General features: G+C 42.2%; 1 long non-coding RNA gene across 6 annotated transcripts; it reads right to left on the bottom strand.

Annotated features, from left to right (window-relative positions):
* Positions 1–1562: 1562 nt before the first annotated feature.
* LOC105372332 (uncharacterized) lies at positions 1563–21462 on the bottom strand. 6 transcript variants are annotated; one of them, XR_936474.1, is made up of 4 exons: positions 21268–21462; positions 3382–3628; positions 2275–2391; positions 1563–1963 (listed from the first exon to the last, which is right to left on the bottom strand). It is a non-coding gene; the product is annotated as an uncharacterized LOC105372332 (long non-coding RNA). The 6 variants fall into 6 exon arrangements; XR_007067205.1 differs by lacking the exon at positions 21268–21462 and adding an exon at positions 3738–4158; XR_936472.1 differs by having other exon boundaries at positions 1563–2391.
* Between the last annotated feature and the right edge of the window lie 4039 nt (positions 21463–25501).

Below are 25501 nucleotides of genomic sequence, written 5' to 3'. Positions count from 1 at the left end.
AAAGATTTTTGTTTGTCTTTTGAATAAAGTACAGGAAGAAAGACAAGAGACAGACTGTTTGGAAAGCTATGTCTTTCCTTTATTAGTAAGTAAAAGTTTTTGGCTTTTAAAAAAATTTTAAAAAGAAAAGTTACTGTTTTGGCTAAATGAATGACATAGGGTGAACTGGGATTTGATTTTATAATGTAAAATATTTTAAACCTTTGTTATTTGAAAAACTTTCCAAAATTAAATTATACATTTCATCTTTTCTGACCTAATTAATCTTTTAGATATTAGGTCACCTAAAGTCCAAAAATAATATATTCGATTTATTTGGTATAAAATTATACAGAATGTATTGTCAAATATGAAATGGTATTTGGCTTTCTTGGGGTTGTATTTGTATAAATATGTCATTAGTGAGTGTTCTGAAATTATGGAAAACTCCTGTAAGTCTGATATAACTTAGTGTATAGTATGTTGTTAATAGTTATAATTGTTATGTAAAATTGTTTATTCCACAAGAGTAACCAATATTTCTAGTTAACTGTGGCTTTAATAATGGCTGTCCTAGGACTTTTTTTGTCACCCACAGACAATTGTTGTCTTGTTTTAATCCTTTTCAAAAGATAATTTATAGTCTGCTCTGGAACATTGATGGGTGCTTTCAAATGCAAATTTCTGATAACTTTGAAGACTGCAAAATTAGAACAGGGGAAAAACTTTCAAGACTCTCATGGAAAGCTGAAATATTAATAAATATCAAGCAGAACAAGAGTTTACTGCATGAACTGAACTAATAAAAGATGGAAGTAATATTTTTTGGCTTTTTGCTTAAAATGTTGTGGATCCTTTGTTTTTCAGAGTCAAGAGCACTTTTGAGTTATTTACAGCTTTTAACAATTGAGTAACATATACTCCTGTAAACATAATTTGGAGTATTTTGTTTCTCTTTCCCTGATTTGTCCAGAATGTGCAAAGATATTGGTGAATATTCTTGATTTATGGCAATATAGTTATTTGCATAAGTACAATAAACATGTTTTCACTTGCAACAGGACACAATGGGAGACACAGGTTATTTTACCAAGGCTTTGACTGGAATCATGGTCTTTGAGAAATCATACTTGATTTGTAGAGCTAGTAGAAGCCCTTTGGGAAAATTGGCCTTCTTCCTTGTCTACACAGTCCCTGCGCAGGGGTCCTGACCTGTGCAAGTAAGGAGTGTCACTTTCTGCCAGGCCCAAGAGCCCCGAGTTATCTGGAGACCTCAAAAAGAAAGGAATTAACCCAATTCCTGTGCTCTCAGAAGATCAGGCATTCTATGTCACAGGATAAGACAAGAGGTCACCACAAGGTACCATTCACAAACACCTTGCTGATAAAAGAGGATACAGGACAAAAGACAGCAAAAACCCACCGAAAGAAAAACTGCAATGAAAGTGACCTCTGTTAGTCCTCACTGCTCATTATACACTAAATGTAATGCATCAGTATGCTAAAAGACACTCCCAACAGCACCATGACACTTTACAAATGTCATGGCAATGTTAGGAAGGTATCCTATATGGTCTAAAAAGGGAAGGCACCCTGAGTTCTGGAAATTGCCCATCCTTTCCCTGGAAAACTCACAAATAATCCATCCCTTGTTTAGTATGTACTCAAGAAATAACCATGAAAAGAGCCAATGAGCAGCCCTGAGGTCTTCTCTGTCTATGGAGTAGCCATTCTTTTGTTTATTTACTTCTCTAATAAACTTGCTTTCACTTTAAAAAAATAAGTCATATCAAGTAGTTGATAGGTCTAAAGATATGTTACAATGCCATTTGTGGGCAAAGTGCAGGCAGGAGACTCACATCACCTTGGTGCTGGGCCCAGGAATATGTCACGATGCCTTCTGAGTACAGTTCGAAAATGAAAGTGTAACTTCACCTTAGTTTGAGGCCCAGTGATATGTCACAATCTCCCCTGTGGGCAAAAACTAGAAAGGAGAATCACATCAGTTAGGTGCTGAGTTCAGCAATATGTCATAATGCCCTCTGTGAGCAGGGACCAGGCAAAAAAAGAGAGTCACATAACCTGGGTTATTGACACAGATTTGTCACAATTCCCCCTGTTGGCAGGGCCTAGGCATGAGAGTTACATCCCTGGGTGTTGGACCCAGCAATATTTCATGACAATTTGTGGACAGGGCACAGGCAAGAGAGTCATGAAACCTGGGTACATACCCCAGAGATATGTCAAAATACCTTTTGTGAGCAATGCCAAGGCAGAAAAATGGAGTTACATCACCTAGGTGCTGGGTACAGCAACACATCACAATTCCATCTGTGGGCTAGACCATGGCAAGAGTCATATCACTCAGATGCCAAATAGAGGAACATGTCAGCATCACTCCTGCAGGAAAGTCTGAGGAAAAGATGAACAATCTTACACATGTCCCAATTCTAGGTATAAGAGTCAACACTTCCTATATGTTGGGTCTAAGTAAATGAGTCACAATCTCAGTGGTGGGCTGGATTTGTGCATGACAGTCTCAATTTGTTCTGGGAATTCCGTTTTCTTAGTGGAGTGACGACCTCATAACTGTGCTGAATTTTGGTCTGAGAGTCACCAACCCCCCTGTGGACTGGGTCTACCAATGAGAGACAATGTTTTAATTTTCAACTGCCTTTGGTTATGAGATTCAACACCTCAACAGTGGGCTGTATCCATGAGGAAAGATGGCAAGTTTTACTGTCAGTTGGGTGTGGATATCACTGTCACAATCTCACCTGTGCGCTGAACCCCGTTAGGACATTTAATACTACCCAAGATCATTGTAGACTAGGAATGAGAGCCACAATTTGCCCCGAGACCTTTATGCTGCTCCCTAAGCCCAGGTAGAAAAGTTAATATTTCTCGGATTAACTGGGCCAGACAGAAGAGTCCTCACTTGTCTATGAGCTGGGTTTAGAAATGAGTCACCATCCCAACTTTGGACAGGTGTTTACATTTGACAGTCAGGAATCAAACTGTGGATTGCATCTGCATGTGAGACACAAGACCTCACCAATGGTCTGTATCCAGGTGTTAGGGTGACAATCCTAACAGGTGTCTGGGTGTGTATACAAGAAACACAATATCCCCTTTGTTTTAGGACATGTGGACACTCTCTGTACCACTGTACCACTCAAGAGCTTTATGCCATATACAAAGCACGTGGTAGTTCTCTATGACCTTCATACAAAGAGGAGACACAGGTATTTTACCAGTTTTCCTAAGCCTCGCTGAGAGAGACAGTATCTCTTCTATTGGCTTGTTTGAGGTATGAGAATTGTCATCAAACCTGTGAGCTGGGCCAGGTTATATGTAATAATTTCTCCTCTGAATAGGGAGTAAGCAGGGAAGTCACATTACCTGGGTTTGGGGCTGAAGATATATCACAATCTTCTCTGAGGGCAGCAACAAGGCAGGACAGTCAAATCACCTGAGTTCTTGGCAAGGGATAGTTACCATCCTCTCATGAATGTTGGAAACAGGCAGCAGAGTCACATCACCTGGGTCCTGGGCTCAGTGCTATGTCACAGTTGTCTCTGTGGGCAAGCCCCAGTCAGAAGAGACACGTCACTAGGTTGCTTAGTTCAGTAATATGCCACAATCTTTCCTGAGGGCAAAGCATAGGCAGAAAATGACAGTCACATTTTTAAAGTCACATATCTTTTAAAAAAGTCATGAGGCCGCCTTGGGCTGAGTCCAGGCAGAAGTTTTCCTACCCATAGCTGTTTGTCACAGAGGTATGTCACAGTAACAATAATATGTGAAACTCAAGCAAGAGAGGATAGTCACATCACCAAGGTGCTCGGTCCAGTGATATGTCACAATCTCATTTTGGTTTTTTGGAGCTTTTTTTGTTTTTTGTTTTTTGAGACAGAGTTTCACTCTCGTTGCCCAGGCTGGAGTGCAATGGCGTGATCTCAGCTCACTGCAACCTCTGCCTCAAGGGTTCAAGTGATTCTCCTGCCTCAGCCTCCCAAGTAGCTGGGATTACAAGTGTGCACCACCACACCTGGCTAATTTTTGTATTTTTAATAGAGACGGGATTTCACCATGTTGGCCAGGCTGGCCTCGAACTCCTGACCTCAGATGATCCCCTCGACTCAGCCTCCCAAAGTGCTGGGATTACAGGCATGAGCCACTGCACCTGGCCACAATCCCATTTTGGAAGAGAGTCACATCACCTTTGTGATGTTCACAGAGGTGTGTCACAATGCCCTTTGCAGGCAGGGGGCAAGGCAGAATAGTTACAATCTGAGTTGTAGAGCAAGAAATATGTCACAATGGCCACTATGCACAGGGCCCAGGCATGGAAGTTACATAACCTGGGTGTAGAGCCCAGTGATATGTCACAATGCCCCCTGTGCACAGTGCCAAGGCAGGAGAAGAGTCATCACCTGAGTGCGAAGACAAGTAATGTGTTATTTGCCTTCTTTGGACAATGCCAATGCAGGAGAATAGAGTCACATTACCTAGTTGTTGGGTCTAGCAATGTCACAATCCCATCTGTGGACTGGGCTCTCACAGAAAAGTAAAATAACTCAAATGCTGGAGAGGCATATTTCATATCACCTTTGAGCTGGGCCCGCCAATATTTCACAATGCCTTTTGAGGGCACAATCACACCTGCATGAAAGGCCAGGGATGAGATTAACAATCCTGCACATTTCTCAATTACAGGTATGAGAGGAAACACCTCCTGTATGTTGAGTCTAAGTACGTGATTCACAGTCTCAACAGTGGACTGGAGCCACGCGTGAAAGCCTCAATCCGTCCCGCAGCCTGTCTCCTTAGCGGAGTCACAACCTCACGAGAGTGCTGAGTCTTGGTCTGAGAGTCACCAACCCACCTGTGGACCGGATTCACATATGAGAGTCAATTTTCCAACTTTCAACTGCTTCTGGGTGTGAGATTCAGGACCTCAGCAATGGGCTGTGTTAGTGTTAATGGATGACAATCTTTACTGTCATCTGGGCATGTGTACAGCAGACACGATCTCACTTGTGTGCTGAGTCACGTTAGGATACTCTCTGTACCAGTTGAGGGCTTTTTATGATATGTGTGAGAGTCACGATCTGCTCTGATACCTTCAGGCTGGTATGGGCCCACGATCTTACCTGTGGCCATAAGCCCACATCAACATCTCTCCAATTGGCTGGGTCCAGATGTGAGAGTGCTCAATGAACCTATAAGCTTAGTTTAGAAATGAGTCACCATCCCAATTCTATCTGGATATTCGCATGTGACTCTCACAATTCTAACCGTGGACTGCATCTTTTCTTGAGATTTAGGATCTCATGAGTGGCCTCTGACCACATGCAAGGGTGACCATCTTAACGGTTGGCAAAGTTTGCATATGAGAGACACAATCTCACCTCTATGCTGGGCCCCTTTATGACACCCTGTACCACCCAAGGGCTTTATGTGATAGGCAAGAGCATGATAATCCCCTGTGATTTTTGTGAAAGGAAATAACCCAGACTCTTGTTTTGCTAAGTCAAGCTACAAAAGACAGTATCTCTCCTACTAGCTGGTTCAAAGTATGAGAGTAATCATCACACCTGTGAACTAGGCCAAACTATACATCACAATACCACCTGTGCATAGAGAGTGAGAAGGGATGTCAAATCCCGAGTGCTGGTCCAGTGATATGTCACAATTTTCACTGTGGCAGGACGCAGGCAGGAAAAAAAAAGTCACAACACCTGGGTGCTTGGCCAAAGATATGTCACAATCTTCTCCTGAAAGCAGGGCACAAGCAGCAGAGTCATGTCACCTGGGTGTTGGGCACAGTGATATGTCCCAATTTACTCTGTGAGCAGGGCACAGGCAATAAGAATCACATTACCTGGGTGCTGGGCCCAGCGATAGGTCACAATGACCCCTGTGGAAAAGGCCACGCAGGAGAGACACATTACCTAGTTGCTAAGCCCAGCGATATGTCACAATCCTTCCTGTTGGCAGGGTGCAGGTAGAAAAGAAGAGTCACAACATCTAGGTGATGCATGCAGAGATATGTCACAAGTCTCCCTGTGGGCAAGGCCCAGGCAGGAGTGTACTATCCCATGGATGTTGAGCCCAGCAATATGTTAAAATACTCAAAGTATATGGGGCCCGGGCAAAAGAACGGTCACATCGCCTAGGTGCTGGTACAGGGATGTGTCACAATCCCCGTTTTTAGCATGTCCCAGGCAGAAGAGGAAGGTCACATCACCAAGGTGATGAATCAAAGATATCCCATAATACTCCTGGTGTCAGGGCCCATGCAGGAGGGTCACATCACCTAACTGTTGGACCCAGTGATATGTCACAATACACAATGTATCCAGGGATCAGGCAGGATAGGAGAGTAACATCACCTAGGTGTGGCTCTCAGCTATAAATTAAAATCTATATTGTGGGCAGAACCCAAGCAGTGTAGAAAAGTCAGATCACCTAGGTGCTGTGTTTAGTAATAGGTCACAACAGCCCCTGAGGAAAGGGTTCAGAAAGAAGCGTCAAATCACCTAGGAGAGGGGTTCAGAGATGTTACAATACCTTTGTGGGTAGAGCTCAGGAAGAAGAGAGTGGCATAATATAGAGGCTGCGTCTAGCCATCTATTCAATCACTCACATAGGCAGGGCCCGGGCATGAGAGGAAGTTCCATCGCCTAGGTGCTAGGAGAAGTAATATGTCACAATCCCCACTAAGGAGAGGGCCCAGGCGAAAGAGGAGAGTGACATTGCCTAGGGCATGGGCCCAGAGTTATATCACAATGAACATGTGGACAGGGCCAACGCAGAAGTATTAAATGACCTGTGTGCTGGGCTCAGTGATAATCACTCTCCCTTCTGTGGACAAAGTCCAGGCAGGAGAGTAGAGTCATGTCACCTAGGTACTGGGCCCAGAGATATGTCACAATTACTTTAATAGGCAAGGCCCACATCAGATAAAAGAGTCATCTCAAATATGTTGTAAGTTGATGAGCCCTGAGATATGTCACAATGTCCCCCCCGAACAGATTCAAGGCAGGAGATTCACATCACCTCGGTGCTGAGCCCAGTGAAATGGCACAGTGTCTCCTGAGTGCAGGGCCAAGGCAAAAGAGCAACACCAACTTGGTGTTGAACCCAACCATATGCCACAATCCACTCTGGGAGCAGTTATCAGGCAGGAGAAATGAGTCACAACACCTGGGTTATGGCCCAATACATATGTCACAATCTTGCCCATGGGCAAAGCCCAGGTGAGACAGGAGAGTCACATCAAATAGTTGATAGGTTTAAAGATATGTCACAATCCCCCCTAATGGGAGTGCCCAGGATGGAGTGTCACATTGCCCAGGTTCTTTTCCCCAGCTGTTTCTTCCTAGGTTGAGTCCTGTTGCTTGATTAGAATTAAGTGCACTGAAATCCTGTGTCAGCTTCTCAGTAGCACCTGAGCTTTTAGAAAGCTATTCCATTCACTAAGTAGTGCCATTTACAAACTTCCATTAGAGATGAACAGAAGAAAACTGTTTAACTGGCAGAGAGATATGTTTAGCCCAGAGATATGTAAACATTGCCCCTGTAGGTTGGGCTCAGGAAGAAGAAGAGAGTCACATAACATAGGAGCTGGGCTCAGCTTTATGTCACAATAACCCCTGTAGGCAGGGCCCAAGCATAATAGGAGAGTCACATCACTTAGGTGCTAAGCCAAGCCATATGTCACAATCTTCACTGTGAACAGGGTCTGGGCATAAGAGGACAGTCACATCTCTGATGGGACCATAGATACGTCAAAATGACTTCTGCAGGCAGGGCCCAGGCAAAAGAATCAGCCAATTAGCTCAGCAAACTTGGATTCAATCAAACAGTTATCTAAATAGCGACTGCAGATTCATCAAGTCAGGCCCAAAATAGTAGACGTGACAGCACATTCCTACACTGAGAAGGTAGGCAGGTTCCTGAAATGCTAATCTGGTCATAAAGCATTAAATTGCTATGCTGTCAGCTTACTTCAAAGACCTCACCTTTGAAAGTGAAGCTTTATGTTTATATAAACAACATTGTATGACAATGTACAATTCTGGGTTTGTATTGTGGCATAGAGTAGGGTAGTAAGTTCGTATCCACATCCTGATTATATACTAAGGTATTGAAAATGTCTTTTTGTGAACATCCTGTGTACACCTAAATATTTACATAGATGTACTTATATAATTCAGTATGTGTGTTTATCTACCTATGAATATCTATATCCAGATATATTTATTTTGTATTTTTATTCATAAAAATTAAAGATGTAGAAGGTGGAAGGGTTGATAGGTATTGATACTGATAGTGATATATAAAGATAATTCCATAGATGTATACAATGTTCTGGCCTATAAACTCTGTCTAGAGAGTAGTACACAAATGGAGGCGTGCTATAACGTCCATCCATCTGCATTTAACTTATACAAAGTAAGCATTAGTCCTTGTTGCTGACTTCTGGGAGATGAAAATTCACTAAGGCCATGAGAGTCATTCACGCTAAATCAAGGATAACCCTTTTTATTCTAGTGAACACAGAACCAAAAATAAACTAGCCTCTGCTGAAAAGCCCTAACCCAAATGTGCAAATGCTGAAAACTTTTCTTTAAAGCTTCCACCAATTCAGGTGATTCTTTTTTTTTTTTTTTGAACATATGACAAAAAAAAGTAAATTCTTGTCTTTTGTTTTGTTGGCTGGAGAAGCAACTTTATTTGGTAGGGAATGAATAGTCGAGGTCTGTAACTTGAAGATACACTGCTGTACTGACAGTGAATTTTAGTTTTCCTTGGACACTTTCTTCTGTAGGTTATATAACATGCAGGGTTATATAAATATGTGTATGCAATGACCATTTATGAGTATGTCTTGGAAAAAAATAAAAGTATGTCAGAAGTCATTACCCTACTCATGCTTCTCAACACGCGTGAATACAATCAGCCAATTAGTTCAGCCCAGGTGATTCATATTAGCTGATTAGGTCAGCCAAAATGATTCTAATCAGTCAATTAATTAGCTCAGCAAAGGTGATGTCAATCTATTAATTAGCTGAGCCTGGGTGAGTCTTATCAGTCAATTATGACACACCAGTTGATTCTAATTAGCCAATTAGCTAAGCCCTGGTCATTTCAGTCAGCCAATTAACTCAGCCTAGGTGAACTTTTTCTGAGACAGGGTCTCACTCTGTCCCCCAGGCTGGAGTGCAGTTGTGCGATCTTGGCTCACTGCAATGTCTGCCTCCCAGGTTCTAGCAATCTCCAGCCTCAGCCTCCTGAGTAGCTGAGACCACAGGCATGTGCCACCATGTGTGACTAATTTTTGTATTTCTTGTAGAGATGGGGTTATCCCATGTTACCTAGGCTGGTCTCCTGGTCTTGAACTTCTTTTTTTTGTCTCTAACTTCTGCACTCAAAAAGATCCATCTGCCTCGGCCTCCTAAAATGGTGGGATTACAGGCATGAATCACTGCACCCAGCCTTAAGCCCAGGTGATTTTTAATCAGTTAGTTTAGCTCAGGTGAACTCAACTGTCCAAGTAGCTGAGTTCAGGTAATTCCAATCAGCCAATTAGCATAGGCCAGTTAGACCCAATCAGCAAATTATCAAAATGGTGACAATGGATACTTCAAGGCAGGCCCAAAATGGTGAAGGAGATTAGCACGTTCATACACTGAGAAGCAAAGCAGGACTCTGAAATGCTAACCTGGACATAAAGATTTACATAGCTTTATGGTTAGCTCACCTTCCAGACCTTGCCTTTAGAGACGAAGCTTTGAAAACGTTTATACAAACATTGTATGGCTGTGTTCCATTCTAAATTGCTATTGTGCCAGAGATTGGGGAGTAAGTCCACATCTGCATTTTTAGTATGTAGTGGGGTACTAAAATGTCTGTTGGTGAACATCCTGTATATACATAAATATTTACATAGATTTACTCATATAATCTAGTATGTGTGTGTTCATTTATCTAACTACCTATGCAAATTTATGTCCAGATGTATTTATCTTTGTCTCAATATTGGTAAAGTACAGATATGTTGCTGGGCGTGGTGGCTCACGCCTATAATCCCAGCACTTTGGGAGGCCAAGGCGGGCAGATCACGAGGTCAGGAGTTTGAGACCAGCCTGGCCAATATGGTAAAACTCTGTCTCTACTAAAAATGCAAAAATTTGCTGCATGTGGTGGCGTGCACCTGTAGTCCCAGCTACTTGGGAGACTGAGGCAGAAAAATTGCTTGAACCCAGGAGGCAGAAGTTGCAGTGAGCCAATATCACACCACTGCACTCCAGTCTGGGCAACAAAGCAAGACTCCACCTCAAAAAAAAAAAAAAAAGAACAGATATGTAGAGAGTAGAAGTGTATACTATATACTGATAGTAATATACAAAGATAATAGTAATATACAATAGTTTAATATTAATCATACTATTTATAATATAATAGTAATATACAAAGATACTTTCATAGATGTATAAGCTTATCTGCCCTATATCTAAATTAGTACACAAATGTAGGTATGCTCTTTGTGCGTCTCTCTGAATTTAGCATATAAGAAGGAAGCCTTGGTCTTTGTTTCTAACTTCTAGGAGATAAAAATACAATAAGGCCATGTAAAACATTAATTGCTAGGTCAAAGTGACCCTTTTTTTCTGATGAACACAGGACTAGAGATAAAGTAGTCTCAGCTTAAAATCCCTCCTTCAAATTTGAAAGTGCTAAAATATTCTCTTTACAGCTTCCATCAATGTAGAGGATTTTTTTTCCCATGGGAAATGAAAATATAATTATCTGTATTGTATTTCTTTTACTGGCTGAAGAAGTGAGTTTTTGAGTAAGGCAAGAAAATCTAGGCGTTATTACTCGAAGATAGACTACAATGCTTAAAGCAAATTTCAGAGTTTCTTGGATGTTTTTCTCTGTAGACTTAGATACAGATATAAGACATGTAGGTAAATAAACATATAAAACACATAGGGTTGTATAAATATATCTATGTAATGTTCATCTGTGAGTATGTCTTGTAAAAAAAAACCCCAAAATAAATGGGACTCAGTGATTAATTTCCTACTAATCTCTCTCATGACAGGTGAATCCAATCAGACAATTAGCTCAAGGCAGGTGATTCCAATCAGCAAATTACCTCAACTCAGGTGAATACAATCAGCCAATTAGCCCAGCCTATGTGATTCTAAAGAACCAAATAGCTCAGTCCAGGTGAATCTAATCAGTCAATTAGCTCAGCCTGGGTGATTCTAAAAAGCCAACTAGCTAAGACAAGGTGATTTCAATAAGTCAATTAGCCTAGCCCATGTAAATTCATTTGGCCAATTAGCTCAAAACATGTGATTCCAATAAGCCAGTTAACTCAGCCCAGGTGAATACAATCAGCCAGTTATCTAAACCAATGTGGTTCCAAATAGCCATTTAGCTAAGCCCAGGTGGTTACAGTCAGCCAGTTACCTCATTAACATACTCACATAATTCTGTTTCTGTGTTTTTTAAAATCTACCCATGTATGTCTATATTCAGATGTATTCATCTTGGTACCTATATTCATATAGAATAAAGACATAGAAGATAGATGTATTGGGAGGTATTCATACAGAAAGTAATATAAAAACTTCAATATATATATAGACTTATCTGCCCTGTAAATTATGTCTAGAATAGTATGCAAATAAAGATAGACTGTGAAATACCTCCTGTTAGATTTAATGTGTATATATATGTGTGTGTGTGTGTGTGTATATATATATATATATATATATAGCAGTGATCCTTATTGCTCCATTCTGGGAGTTAGAAAAGCCCTAAAGTCATGCGAGTCATTCACTGCCAGGTCAAGAATGATCTTTTTATTCCAGTGATAAATTAGCCCCATTTCAAAGGCTATAACTCAAATTTGAGAATGCTTATTTCTTCCTATTAAAGCTTTCATCACGAAAAGGGCTCTTGTTCTTAACTCTGAGCATGTGTTGTAAAAATACGTTTTTGTATTTTTTTCTTTGTGGCTGTAATATGACTTTTATGGTAATAAAAAAATTAGGCCTGTTTTCAGAAGATAGACTGTGATATTGAACACAAATATCTTGGTATATGGTACCTGGCCAAATTTCAACCAGACAATAGTGAACATGTGCAAAATGCCAAAGGTAAATTTTTTTGGTGATGTCAAAGCTTTTTTGTGAGAAAGGTCAGGCTCAATGTTTTCAGGCATCTCTGGCTCTTCATAAATGGATGATTACAACCACACTAAGCTGGTTTGATGAGACACTACATTACAAACAACCGGGTGCCAGGTGACAAGGACATTTTTACATTTATAAGAATAATGTGATGTGTGTGGCTTGGATTGGATCAATCTTCACTGAGTTAATTGACTATTTGGATTCATCTGGCCTGGAGGGAAAGAAAATTCGAAGTATTCCTGACCTATTTTTTTCTTGGGGGCTTTTTTTGTACATATAGATAAAAATATAAGATTAGTGAATAAATAAACATACACACACAGAATGGGTCCCCTGTGTATGTTCATGCAAAGTCCATGTATCCATATATCTGGTTAAAAAGCCTCAAGAAAAAAGCATATCAGAGGTCATTTCCCTTCACAACTCCTGCAAACCAGGTGAATTCAAGAAACCAATTAGCTCAGCCAGGCAAATTCAGTTGGCCAATCCACTCAGTGGAGATAGTGTGAATAGCCCATTAGCTAAATGTGAAAGACGAAAGCATCAAGGCAGGCACAAAATGGCCTACAACACAGTCATAGAGCGAGTAGAAAAGCAGGGCCCTAAAATTTTAAGGTCAACATAAAGTCTTATTTGGCAGGAATGGAAGCTTCCTTCTCAGGCTTTGCCCCTTAACATAAAGTTTTGTTGATACTTATACAGAACATTATATGTCTGTATTTCAGTCTGTGATGGTATGGAGCCATATAGGTGAGAGTAAGTCTAGGTCTTCATCTTCCAGACAGAATGGGATATTAAAAATGCCTCTCAAAAAAGTCTTCTGCATACAAGAACATTTATGTAGACAAACATATAATTCTGTATGTGTGTTTATCTCCTTATGCATAACTATATCCAGATTTATCTATCATTCTATACATATTCATACAGAATAAAGAGAGAGAAGGTGAAAGTATTGATAGGTATTTCTACTGATAGCAATTAAAAAAACTTCCATACACATAAAATCCTATTTGCCTTTTAAACTACATCCGCAAGAGTACACAAATGGAGGTATTCTCTGACATACATTCTGCTGCATTTAATGTATATGAAGAAAGAATTGGCCCTTGTTGCTCACATCTGTAAACAGAAAATGTACTAAGGCCATGAGAGTCATTCACTGCCAAGTCAAGAATGACCCTTTTCATTCTAGTGAACTGAGACGAGAGATACATTAGCCCCAGCTTTGCCCCAAATTTGCAAATGCCGAATAATTTTCTTTAAACTTCCAGAAATTCAGGGGATCTTTTGTATGAATATATGACATAGCATGATAATTTGGGGATTTTTTTGTTTTATTTTGTTGGCTAGAGAAGTAACTTTTTAGGTAGAGAAAAAAAATTAAAGTCTGTGACTAAAAATTAGTCTGCTATTCTGAAAGGAAATTTAAGTTTTCTTTGGATAGTTTTTTTGTAGATTTAGATACAGATATAAAATATGTAAATGAATTAATATATACAAATCACAGGGTTATGCAGATACGTCTATGTAATTTCCATTTGTGATTGTGTCTCATAAAGAAGCCTCAAAACTAAGACATTATTTTACTACTCATTTCCCTCAAGACAGGTTAATTCATTCAGCTGATTAGGTCACTCCAGGTGATTTCAATCATTCATTAGCTCAACCCAGGTAATCCAATTAGCCAATTAGCTCAGCCCAGGTGAATAAAATCAGCCAATTAGCTTAGGTCAGGTGATTCCAATCAGCCAGTTAGCGAAGATAGACTCAATCAGTCAATTATCAAAACATCAACAGTGAATTCCTCAAGGCAGAATTACAATGGTTGACGAGAGTAGCACATTCATATATTGAAAACAAAAGCAGGGCCATAAAATGCTAATCTGAACATAAACTATTACATTAGTGTACTATCATCTTCCCAAATCTCTCATGTAGGGGAAGCTTTGTTTACATTTAAACAAACAACATTGTATGTCTATGTTTCATTCTGGAATACTATTGTGTCAGAGTAGAGAATTAATTCTACATCTTTATAATATATACTAGGGTATTGAAAATGTCTTTTGGCCAACATAATGTGTATACATTAATATTTACACAGATGTAGTCATATAATCCTGTATGTGTGTGTATGTTTATCTACGTATGTCTATATTCAGATGCATCCATCTTTGTATCTGTATTTATAAAAAATAATGATGTATGACCAGGTGCGGTGGTTCACACCTGTAATTTTAGCACTTCAGGAGGTTGAGGGGGGTGGATTGCTTGAGCTCAAGGGTCTTAAAGAGCCAGATGTGGTAGTATGTGCCTGTGGTCCCAGCTACTTGGGAGGCTGAAGTGGGAGGATCACTTGAACCCAGGGTACAGAGGTTGTAGTGAACCTACATGGTTCCACTGCTCTCCAGCCTGGGTGACAGAGTGAGAACCTGTCTCAATAAAAAATAAGAATAGTGTTGTATAAAGTGGAAATATTGATAGATATTGATAATGACAGTGACATAGAAAGATGCTATTATAGATGTATAAACTTAACTTTCCCATAAACTATACAAAAAATAGTGCAAAAATGGAACTATGCTCTTACATACATCTTTCTGCTTTTAACAGACACAAAGGAAGCATCATTCCTTGTTGCTCACTTCTGAAAAACAAAAATGCACTGAGGTTATGAAACATTCATTGCCAGGTCAAGGGTGACCCTTCTCTTTCTGGTAAACATAGGACCAGAAATAAAATAGCCTCAGTTTAAAGGCTCTCACTCAAATGTGAAAGTGCTGAATAATTGTCTTTAAAGCTTTCATAAATTCAAATAATCATTTTAAATATGTCATAGGAATAAAACCTTGTATTTTTGTTTTCTTTGCTGAAGTAGTGACTTTTTGGGTAAGAGAATAAAAGCCAAGGGCTGTAACTTGAGCATTTACTTCAATACTGAAAAAAAAGTTAGTTTTATTGGACACATTTCTCTGTAGATTTTGATATAAATATGAGATAGATAGATAAACATATACAAACACACAGGGTTATGTAAATATGTCTAGGTGATGTCAATCTGTATTTTTTTCTAAAACAGCCCCAAAATAAAAGTAAATCAGAGGTCATTTTTCTACACATTCTCTTTAGAAACAGTGAACCCAATCAGTCAATGAGCTCAGCTCAGGTGAATCCAATCAGCCAATTAGCTCAGTCCAGGTGACTTTAATAAGCTAGTTAGCTCGACTCAGGCAGATCCAATTATGCAATTGTCTAAATAGGGACTGCAGATTCATCAAGTCAGGCCTAATATAGTGAATGCAAATAGCATGTTGATACAGTGAGAAACAAAGCAATAGTCTGAAATGCTAGCCTGGAAATATAGCATTACATAGCTGTACTGTCAGCTTACTGTCTAGATTTATTCCCTGAACCTGAAGCTTTCTTTACACTTATACAAACAACATTGCTTGGCTCTGTTTCATTATGAGATGTTATTGTGCCATAGAGTACCGAAGTTAGTATACATTTGTGTTCTTAGTATATACTAGAGCATTTAAAATGTCTTTTCAGAACATGCTTTGTATACATAAATGTTCACATAAACATACTCATATAATCCTGCATGGGTTTTTGTTTACCTTTCTACCTATGTATATCTATATGCAAATATATTTAGCTTTGTATGTATATTCATACAGAATAAAAATGTGGAAAATGGAAGTATTGATAGGTATTGATTCTAATAGTGGTATAAAAAATACTTTTATACATATGCATAATCTTAACTGTCTTATAAACTATATCCAGAATCACACATATAGAAGGATGTTTTTAAATACAACCTGCTGCATTTAACATATATGAAGAAAGCATTGTTTCTAGTTTCTTTCTTCTAGGAAATAAAAATGCACTAAGGCCAGGGGAGTCATTCATTATCATGTAAAGCTGGACCCTGGCCATATTTCAACCAGGTGATAGTGAACATGTGCTGAAATGTCAATGCTGGCTCTTATTCTCCAGGCTAAGGCTTCTATGTGAGAAAGGCTAGGGTTCCTGGTGTCAGGCACCTCAGACTTGTCCTAGCTGTATGGTTAGAATTCCACTGAGCGGATTTAATTAGATCCTGAATTAAAAACACTCGAGTGCCAGGTAACAAGAACATTTACACATTTATAAGAATAATATGGCCGGGTGCAGTGGCTCACGCCTGTTATCCCAGCAGTTTTGGAGGCCGAGGTGGGTGGATCAAGAGGGCAGGAGTTCAAGACCATCCTGGCCAACACGGTGAAACCCCATCTCTACTAAAAATACAAAAATTAGCCAGGCTTTGTGGCACACGCCTGTAATCCCAGCTCACGCCATTGCACTCCAGCCTGGAGCAAGACTCTGTCAAAAAAAAAAAAAAAAAAAAAAGAACGTGATGCAATATGTGGCTTGGATTGGGTAAATCACCACTGAGCTAATAGGCTGATTTGATTCACCCGGTCTGGAAAGAATGAAAATAAAAATGACCTCTTACCTAGCTTCGTTTTGCTTTGCTTTGTATATGTATTTATCGATATAAGATATGTGAATAGTGAAACATATACACCCAGAATGGTTCACATAGTTGTATCTAGCTAGAGTCCATTTGTGCTTATGCCTGGTAAAAAAAAAAAATCCTCAGAAGAAGAGAAGATCAAAGTTCATTTTCCTTTCCTACCCATCCAGACCAGGTGAATTCTATAAGCCAATTAGCTAAGCTCAGGTGATTTTAATCAGCCAATTAGCTCAGCCCAGGCAAATATAATCAGACAATTAGCTAATTTGGGGAAGCAGAAGCATCAAGAAAGGCCCCAAATGGTGGATATAAATAACAGAGGTATACAGTGAAAAGAAAAAAGCAGGGCCTTCAAATTCCAAGCTTTCCATGAAACCTTACATAACAGTACTGGACGCTTACTTCCTGGGCTGTGTCCCTCAATGCTAATCTTTGTTGATTTTTATACATAACATTGCATAGCTGGGTTCCAGCCTGAGATGGTATAGAGCCATATAGGTGAACGTAAGTCTATGTCTGCAACATCAGTTTTCGCTGGAGGAGAATGTCTCTTGAACTTATTTTCTCTTGAACTTATTTTGTATACATAAATATTTGCATAGACAAACTCATAATTTTATGTTTGTGTTTATCTACCTATAAATATCTATGTGCAGATCTAACTATCATGCTCTTTGTATTCATACAGATTAGAGACATAAGAGGTAAAGATTTTGATAGATATTTGTACTCTTGATAATATAAAAAGAAACTTCCATACATGCCAAATTTTATTTGCTGTTTAAACTATATCCCCAAGAGTACACTAAGAGAAGCATGTTCTGACATACATAGTTTTCATGTATTGCATATGAAGAAAAATTGGTTTTTATAGCTCAAACCTGTGAGCAGAAAATAAACTAAGGCCATCGAGTCATTAAGGAATATCTTCTTTATTCTGGTGAACATGAGACCAGAAATAAAATAAGCTCAGCTTAAAGAACCTGACTTGTAGGAGAACCTTCCCACATACCTCTCCTTAGAAGCCTTTCCACCGCTGTGACTCTGGCCTGAGGGGGGCACAGAGAGGGTGGGGGTGGGAAACAAAGAGCTAATGGGAACTGGCACTGATTACAATGTATCTTCCAGGCTTCCCCCTGGCAGCAGCAGGCCTCCCATAGACTCCAGAGTTGCCAAATCGCTCCATCAGATAGATCCTGCCAGCTTCCCTTTGGCCTACGTGGGGAGACAGATTCCTGGTGCTTCCTGCTCTGCCACCTCCCCTGATTTCTCTCCGAATGTGTTGTCACACACACTTCCTTTCCTCTCATTGGAAGTAATCTAACAGCTCATGGCCCTGCAGTTTTCTCAGGCTCAGTTCCCTCCCAATAAGAAAAAGAAGAGAAAATAATGTAGACAAATTGCTGTCTGTAGGCAGCAAATCTGAATCAAGGTCCTTCCCTTCAAGAAAGAGAAGTAGAATAAGGAAAAAGGCTATTGAACTTTTGTGATTGATCGAGAACCATACATCTAGATTTATCTGTATTCTAGAATTAGAAAAAATCTTCAGTGCACAGAGTTAAATACTGCAATGCTTTCTACAATATTCAAAACCACCAGAGATTAGGAGCACTTCACTCAATGGGGCTTGTGCCCCTAAAAACAACCAACCAACCAAAAAAAAACAGGTTCCTGAGATTGATCTGTCTCGACATTTTTGTTTTCTATCCCGGTACTATCACTACGCACTTGGACTGTAACACAAACCGAAAAAAATCAACACATAAAAAATATGACCGGGATGGACACGGTGGCTCATGCCTGTAATCCCAGCACTTTGGGAGGCCGAGGTGAGTGGATCATTTGAGGTCAGGAGTTCAAGACCAGCTTGGCCAACATGGAGAAACCCCATCTCTACTAAAAATACAAAAATTAGCCAGGCATAGTGGTACGCACCTGTAGTCCCAGCTACTTGGGAGGCTGAAGTGGGAGAATTGCTTAGACCCAGGAGGCAGAGGTTGCAGTGAGCCAAGATCCCACCACTGCACTCCAGCCTGGGCAACACAATGAGACTCCATCTCATGAAATAATAATAACGTTAAAAAAGAAATATATATGAGCAGACCCTGGACACCACAGTGAGAACACATCTCTGCTACAAAGGTAGGTAGGTAGATAGATAGATAGATAGATAGATAGATAGATAGATAGATATGATAGATAGATAAGATAGATATAGATAGTTTAGATAGATAGATAGATATGATAGATAGATATAGATAGTTTAGATAGATAGATAGATAGATAGATAGATAGATAGATAGATAGATGATAGAGCAAGCCAGGCGCAGTGGCTCACGCCTGTAATTCCAGCACTTTGGGAGGCCAAGGTGGGCAGATTGCTCGTGCACAGAAAACATGGTGGAACCCTGTCTCTACAAAAATAAAATGTACAAAGCACAAAATAAGGTTAGCCAGCAGGTGGTGTGTGCTTGTAGTCTCAGCTACTAGGGAGTTGGGGAGGCTGAAATGAGAGGATTGCTTGAACCTGGGAAGTTGAGGCTGCTGTGAGTCAAGATCACGCCATTATACTGCAGCCTGGGTGACAAAGTGAGACCCTGTCTAAAAATAAAAATAAATAATAAAAACAAACAATAACAAGTGACAAAGAAAGAACAAACAATATTAATTTTTTTTTAAAATGGAGTGAACGAAGGCAAAAGGTAAATAAGATCCCAATTAATTTTACCCCCTCTCTCTCTTTCTGGCAGGGTTCTTCTGTTACCCAGGCTGTAGGGCAATGGCACAATCATGGCTCACTGCAGCCTCGACCTCCCAGGCTGAAGCGATCCCTGTAGTTTCAGCCACTTGGGAGGCTGAGACAGGAGCAACCCCTGAGCCCAGGGAGGTCGAGGCTGCAGGGAGCCGTGATCACCCAACTGTACTCTAACCTGCGTGACAGAGTGAGAAGACTTCACTCAGAAAAAAGAAAGAAAAACAAGACGAAAGAAAGAAATCAAAACAGCAACTTTAATGTGCAGGAAGGAGTGTTAAGAGACAGAGAACAAGGAAAAACAACTCAAAGTACTGAGGAAAGAAAATGGAAGTGGAACTAGAAAAAAAATCACAGGAAGATCCCTGGAATCCTGGCTCCTCTGAAGACAGAAATGGGATGGCCACTTGGGCGAGCCCGAGAGTAGGGGCGTGGGTTCAAGGCCACAGCGAGGCCTGATCACACCCCTCCGCTGGACCTAGGAGGCACTGCCGTGCGTAAATATTTAAATGTTTGATATTAAATATTTAGGTTGACCTTTAGTATTTCGAGCTAGTGGCCAAGAGCAATGTTCGCGGCTCGCAGCCCACATCTGGTCGACCCAGTGGCCCGACTGAGAAGCCAGCCGGTGGCCGTGGGCAGTGGCGCACCGGGTCCACCCTACAGCCAAGTGTGGCGCTCCAGACCTGAGACTGTTCCGCCCAGCTGGAGCCTTAGACGTGGGCGGCGCAGTGGGGGCGGCTGGTGGCATAAGCCCGCCCACCTTCCCACCACAGCCCGCGGTCTGCTGGTCCACCCGGAGGGGGGCGGGGAGGAGAAGGGTGCAGGGGTGGAACAGGATGCACCTCGTCCGCCCCTGCTACAGGGAAGGAAGGGCTGGGACCCAGATGGCCACCCCCGGGCCCGCGCCGCCACCCCCTGGGACAGAAGCCGCTGGGCCACGACCCTCCAACCTCTACACCTCGATCATTTCCACCACGCTCCCGGACCCCGTCTCAGGGGATGAGCCCCCAGCGGAGTGATGGGAGAAGGCGGTAAACGGAGAGGTGGGACGCCAGCAGAGGAGGCCTCCCACACCTCGAACACCCCCAGCGTGGCACGTCCCCTTCGGTTAATGAAGGCCCCTGGGCAGGGACGCGAGCCTCCCTAACGGGCGGTGCCCACAGAGTCAAGATTCAGAAAGAGACTGGGAGCAGTGGCTCACGCCTGTAATCCTAGCACTTTGGCAGGCTGAGGCGGGTGGATTACCCGAGGTCAGGAGTTCGAGACTAGCCTGACCAACTTGGCGAAACCCCGTCTCTACTAAAAATACAAAAATTAGCCGGGCGTGGTGGCGGGCGCCTGTATCCCAGCTACTTGGGAGGCTGAGGCAGGAGAATCACTTGAACCCAGGAGGCGGAGGTTGCAGTGAGCCGAGATCGCGCCACTGCACTCCAGCCTGGGCGACAAGAGCGAAACTCCGTTAAAAAAAAAAAGTCAGCAAGAGACCTTGAGCATTCTCTCCTGAAAGCAGTGAGGTGAATGGCGACCGAGTGTTCTGTGCTTCTGCATTTTTAGGTGGCCATGCATGGAGGATAGATTTGAAACGTTTCTGGAAAGGTGCAAGCGAAGGTCATTCGGGTAGCCTGAGCATGGGATGGGGTTTTGGACAGCGACTTAAGAGCCAGAATTCGCCAAGGACCATGTTCTAGGGTAGAGATGATGGAACCCCATGCAGAGGGAGCCATTGGTGTGGGCGAACTCCAGCCTTAGGCCCCGCTGAGCAGACCACATCAGAAGGAACAGAATACCTCGTGCTACATGTCATGTCCTTCCACTGAAGTTGGGAGCGGATCCGTTTTTCAAACACGAGGCGGCTTTCAGCAATGGATCACAAGGGGCCGGGCTTCTCTAAGTCGGCAGGATAAGGAAGTCCCCTGCATTTTAGCCCTGTAAGAAAAATCGTCTTTTCTCCGCCTGTGCTTTTCTCAGCCCCTTCCTCTCTCTGGAGCCCAGCTCCTCTGCTTAGCTTCTGGAAAAGCGCATTCTGTGACGTAGAGTGAGGTGTGGCCTGAATCTAAAATCTCCAGTTATAACCAACGGGGGTTTTTAACTCAATGTGTCGTCCTTGGGTCGCTTGACAGGATACATCGGGCACTTGAGGAAATGTCGGGGGAATCTATTCTCTAGCCTCAAGGGAGGGTTTGAGAGAAGCTCCCGAAAACGTGAAGGCCAAAGGAATTCCCTCCGTCCAAAAAGCCATATTCATTTGAATCCCCACTGCCCAAGAAGCCATATTCATTTCTAGTCTGCAGCCTGTGGGAGAATCGGACTTTCCATAGACTCCCCCCTGAAATTAGCTCTTGCTCCCTTCAATCAAAATAGGAGAATTGCCTGGCACGATGCCTCATACCTGTAATCTCAGCACTTTGGGAGGCGGAGGCAGGCAGATAACAAGGTCAGGAGTTCGAGACCAGCCTGGCCAACATAGTGAAACCCCTTCTCTACTAAAAATACAAAAATTAGTCCGGCATGGTGGCGCGTGCCTGTAGACCCAGCTACTCGGGAGGCTGAAGCAGGAGAATCGCTTAAACCCAGGAGGCAGAGGTTGTGGTGAGCCGAGATTGCACCACTGCACTCCAGCCTGGCCGACAGAGCGAGACTCCATCTCAAAACAAAAAAAACAAAAAAAGAAAATAGGAGAATTGCTTCCCTAGGATACAGCTGCAGATAAACAATGATGCCACCGTCAAACAAACCTCCCGTCTATGTGCTCAGGACACACTCACATGAGAAGGGTGTCAGGCTCTATTCTATTCACACTGTGTGGTTTTCTCACCTGCAGTGTGTGGGCTTCAGGGGCTTGTGGACAGAAGAGGAGGAGAGAGAGTGGTGTCTCGTGGGCTGAGACACGGGTGGGGTGGCCAGAGCCTAGGAAACTCATTCTGGCCAGGAAGTCTCCCCTCCATGCCTTCTCTCTGACCCACTCATTCTCCACATCTTCAGAGTGCAGTGGGGACCTTGTGGGTGGAGGTTCCTGTGACTTTCAACTTTAGCAGAGGAAGGCTGGCTTCCCAACAGTCTCCCTGGAGTTGGTGCCCTTGGCAGTTTAGGCTCACAACGGTGGTGATCTATGGTGGAGGCCTTGGACCATGCAGTAGCAGATGTCTGACCTTGTTGGGGGTGTCAGTTTTGTGGGGTCCCATGCATCCTTCAAGAGAGTCATCCAAACCTAGAAGTATGTATGGTCTCAATGCCCCCAGCAGAGATACTTTTGTTTACACAAAATCTGGGGCAGGAATGTTAGCAGGCTTTGGCCTCATACCTGCAAACCTGAAACAAATTCTCCGATGTCCTTCAAAGAGCCAGTGGCTCCACAAAGGGCTATGGGTAGTTGTGGAAATGGAGAGAAGTTTTTGGAGATACATATTGGAGGAAGAATGGACAGGACTTGGTCACGGGTTGTTTAGGACATGGGGAGATACAGATTGAGTAAACTCTCCCAGTATCCTAGGTGAACAGTGGTACAATTTATTGAGCCAGTAAGTCTGGGTCACAGCTGAGTTGAATGAGGAAGAAGCAAACCCAGTTTTAGGGTTGGGTCATTATTAATATGTAATGTCTATGAGGCATCCAAGTCCAGAAATCAACTTACTGGTTCTCTACAGGATTTGGGATAGAGATCCAATGTTGGATTAAGAATTCAGGCTTTGGGGCACGGTGGCTCACGCCTGTAATCCCAGCACTGTGGGAGGCCGAGGCAGGCAGATCACCTGAGGTTAGGAGTTCAAGACCAGCCTGGCCAACATGGTAAAACCCTACCTCTACTAAAACTACAAAAATTAGCTGGGTGTGGTGGCACACACCTGTAATCCCAGCTACTTGGGAGGCTGAGACAGGAGAATCGCTTGAACCTGGGAGGTGGAGTTTGCAGTGAGCTGAGATCGTGTGACTGCACTCCAGCCTGGGCAACAGAGTGAGACTCTGTCTCAAAACAAACAAACAAACAAAAAAAAGAATTCAGGCTTTGGAAATGGATTAGATCTGCCTGAGCTTATTTTAAAGAGAGACAGAGAGAGAGAGAAGGAAGGGGGGTACTCAAAAAATAACTACACTTATTATATAATGCTGTTGATGCCATAACAGGTGGGTGGATCACCTGAGGTCAGGAGTTCGAGACCAGCTTGGGCAACTTGGCGAAACCCCGTCTCTACTAAGAAACACAAAAATTAGCCGGGTGTGGTGGCACGAGCTTGTAATCTCAGCTACTTGGGAGGCTGAGGCTGGAGAACTGCTTGAACCCAGGAGGCAGAGGTTGCAGTGACCCAAGATGATGCCACTGCACTCCAGCCTGGGTGACAGAACAAGACTCTGTCTTAAATAAATAAATAAAACCTAAACACAATTTCCCCACTGTCTTGGGGTCTTCGTTATGAAGGCTCTGTGCACAGAAACGTGTGTCTGCCTTTTCTCTTATTCATCTGCCTTTGATGAGTTGATTTCTCAGTGAAACTTCAGAGGGCCAAAGGGAAACCTCTCCCTTTGCCCCCACATTATGTTTTATAATAAGCGTAAGGCAGTTTCCCTAGGCCAAGGTCACTAGATATCCAGATAAACTTTTTGCCTCTCAATGGAATTCCGTACACCTCTAGTGTTGTAATCACCCAACCTGGCCCACTGCCTAGACAGAGTGAATTTATCAAGATAGGGGAATTGCAACAAAGAAAGTAATTCATGCAGAGTGGGCTGTGTGGGAGACTGGAATTTTATTATTGCTCAAATCTGTCCCCCTGAGCATTTGGGGATCACAGATTTTAAGAATAATTTGGTGGGTGGGGGAAGGCCAGTGAGTCGAGAATGCTGATTGGTCAGGTCAGAAGTGAAATCATAGAGAGTCTAAGCTGTCTTCTTGTACGGATTTAGTTCCTGGGTGGAGGCCACAAGACCATATGAACCAGTTTATCAATCTGAGTAGTGGCAGCTGATCCATCAAGTGCAGACCCTGGTGTGCAAAAAGCTCAAGCACTGATCTTAGGAGCAGTTTAGAGAGGGTCAGAATCTTGTAGCCTCCAGGTGCATGACTCCTAAACCATAATTTTTAATCTTGTGACTAATTTGTTAGTCCTACGAAGGCAGTCTAGTCCCCAGGCAAGAAGGAGGTTTGTTTTGGGAAAGGGTTGTTATCATCTTTGTTTTAAACTATAATCTATAAACTAAGTTCTTTCCAAAGTTAGTTCAGCCTATTCCCAGGAATGAGCAAGGGCAGCTTGAAGGTTAGAAGCAAAATGGAGTTTGTTAGGTCAGATATTTTTCACTGTCTTGGTTATAATTTTGCAATGGTGGTTTCAGGGAGAGGAATGATTTAGTACTAAAACTTCCCTTTCTGGTCAAAGGGACACCCTTGGTGATGACAAGAGAAACTTTATTTTGTGCTTTTTATCTCTGTTCTTATTTTTCAATATTTTCTATTTCACAACAGATGCTCATTTAAACAACCAGAAGCTGGATTTGAAGAGGGAAGTTTCAAGAAGTATCTCCTTCCCCCTTTCCCATAAAAATAGATTTTCCCTATGTAGAACAGCTATGCAGCAGTTGCCCCACGCTGCCCCACCAAAAAAAAATGTTAAAATAGGCCAGGAGTTTGAGAACCAGCCTGAGCAACATGGGGAGGGTGAATCCACCTCCTTAAAAAAAAAAAAAAAAGATTTGGCAAGGTGGTGACCCACACGTCACGCTGGGCCCCAACTTAGGAGGCTGGGGAGGCTGAGGCAGGAGGTTTGAGGTTGTAGTGAGCTAGTATCATGCCCACTGCACTGCAGCCAGGGGGGCAGAGTAAGATCCTGTCTCAAAAAAATAAATTTTGGTGTGTGTAATCTGAGATAAAAAAACAAACAAAAGAAAACAAAAATGAAGGAAAGAAGAAAGAAAGTAGAGAGAGAAAGAGAGGGAGGGAGGAAGGAAGGAAGGAAGGAAAGAAGGAGGGAGGGAGGGAAGGAAGGAAGGAAGGAAGGAAGGAAGGAAGGAAGGAAGGAAGGAAGGAAGGGA

The sequence above is a fragment of the Homo sapiens genome, chromosome 19, assembly GCF_000001405.40.
Source record: "Homo sapiens chromosome 19, GRCh38.p14 Primary Assembly".
In the NCBI taxonomy this organism is placed as follows: Eukaryota; Metazoa; Chordata; class Mammalia; order Primates; family Hominidae; genus Homo; species Homo sapiens.
Note: the sequence above shows the minus strand (reverse complement) of the source record. Positions and strands in the feature narration are given on the sequence as shown.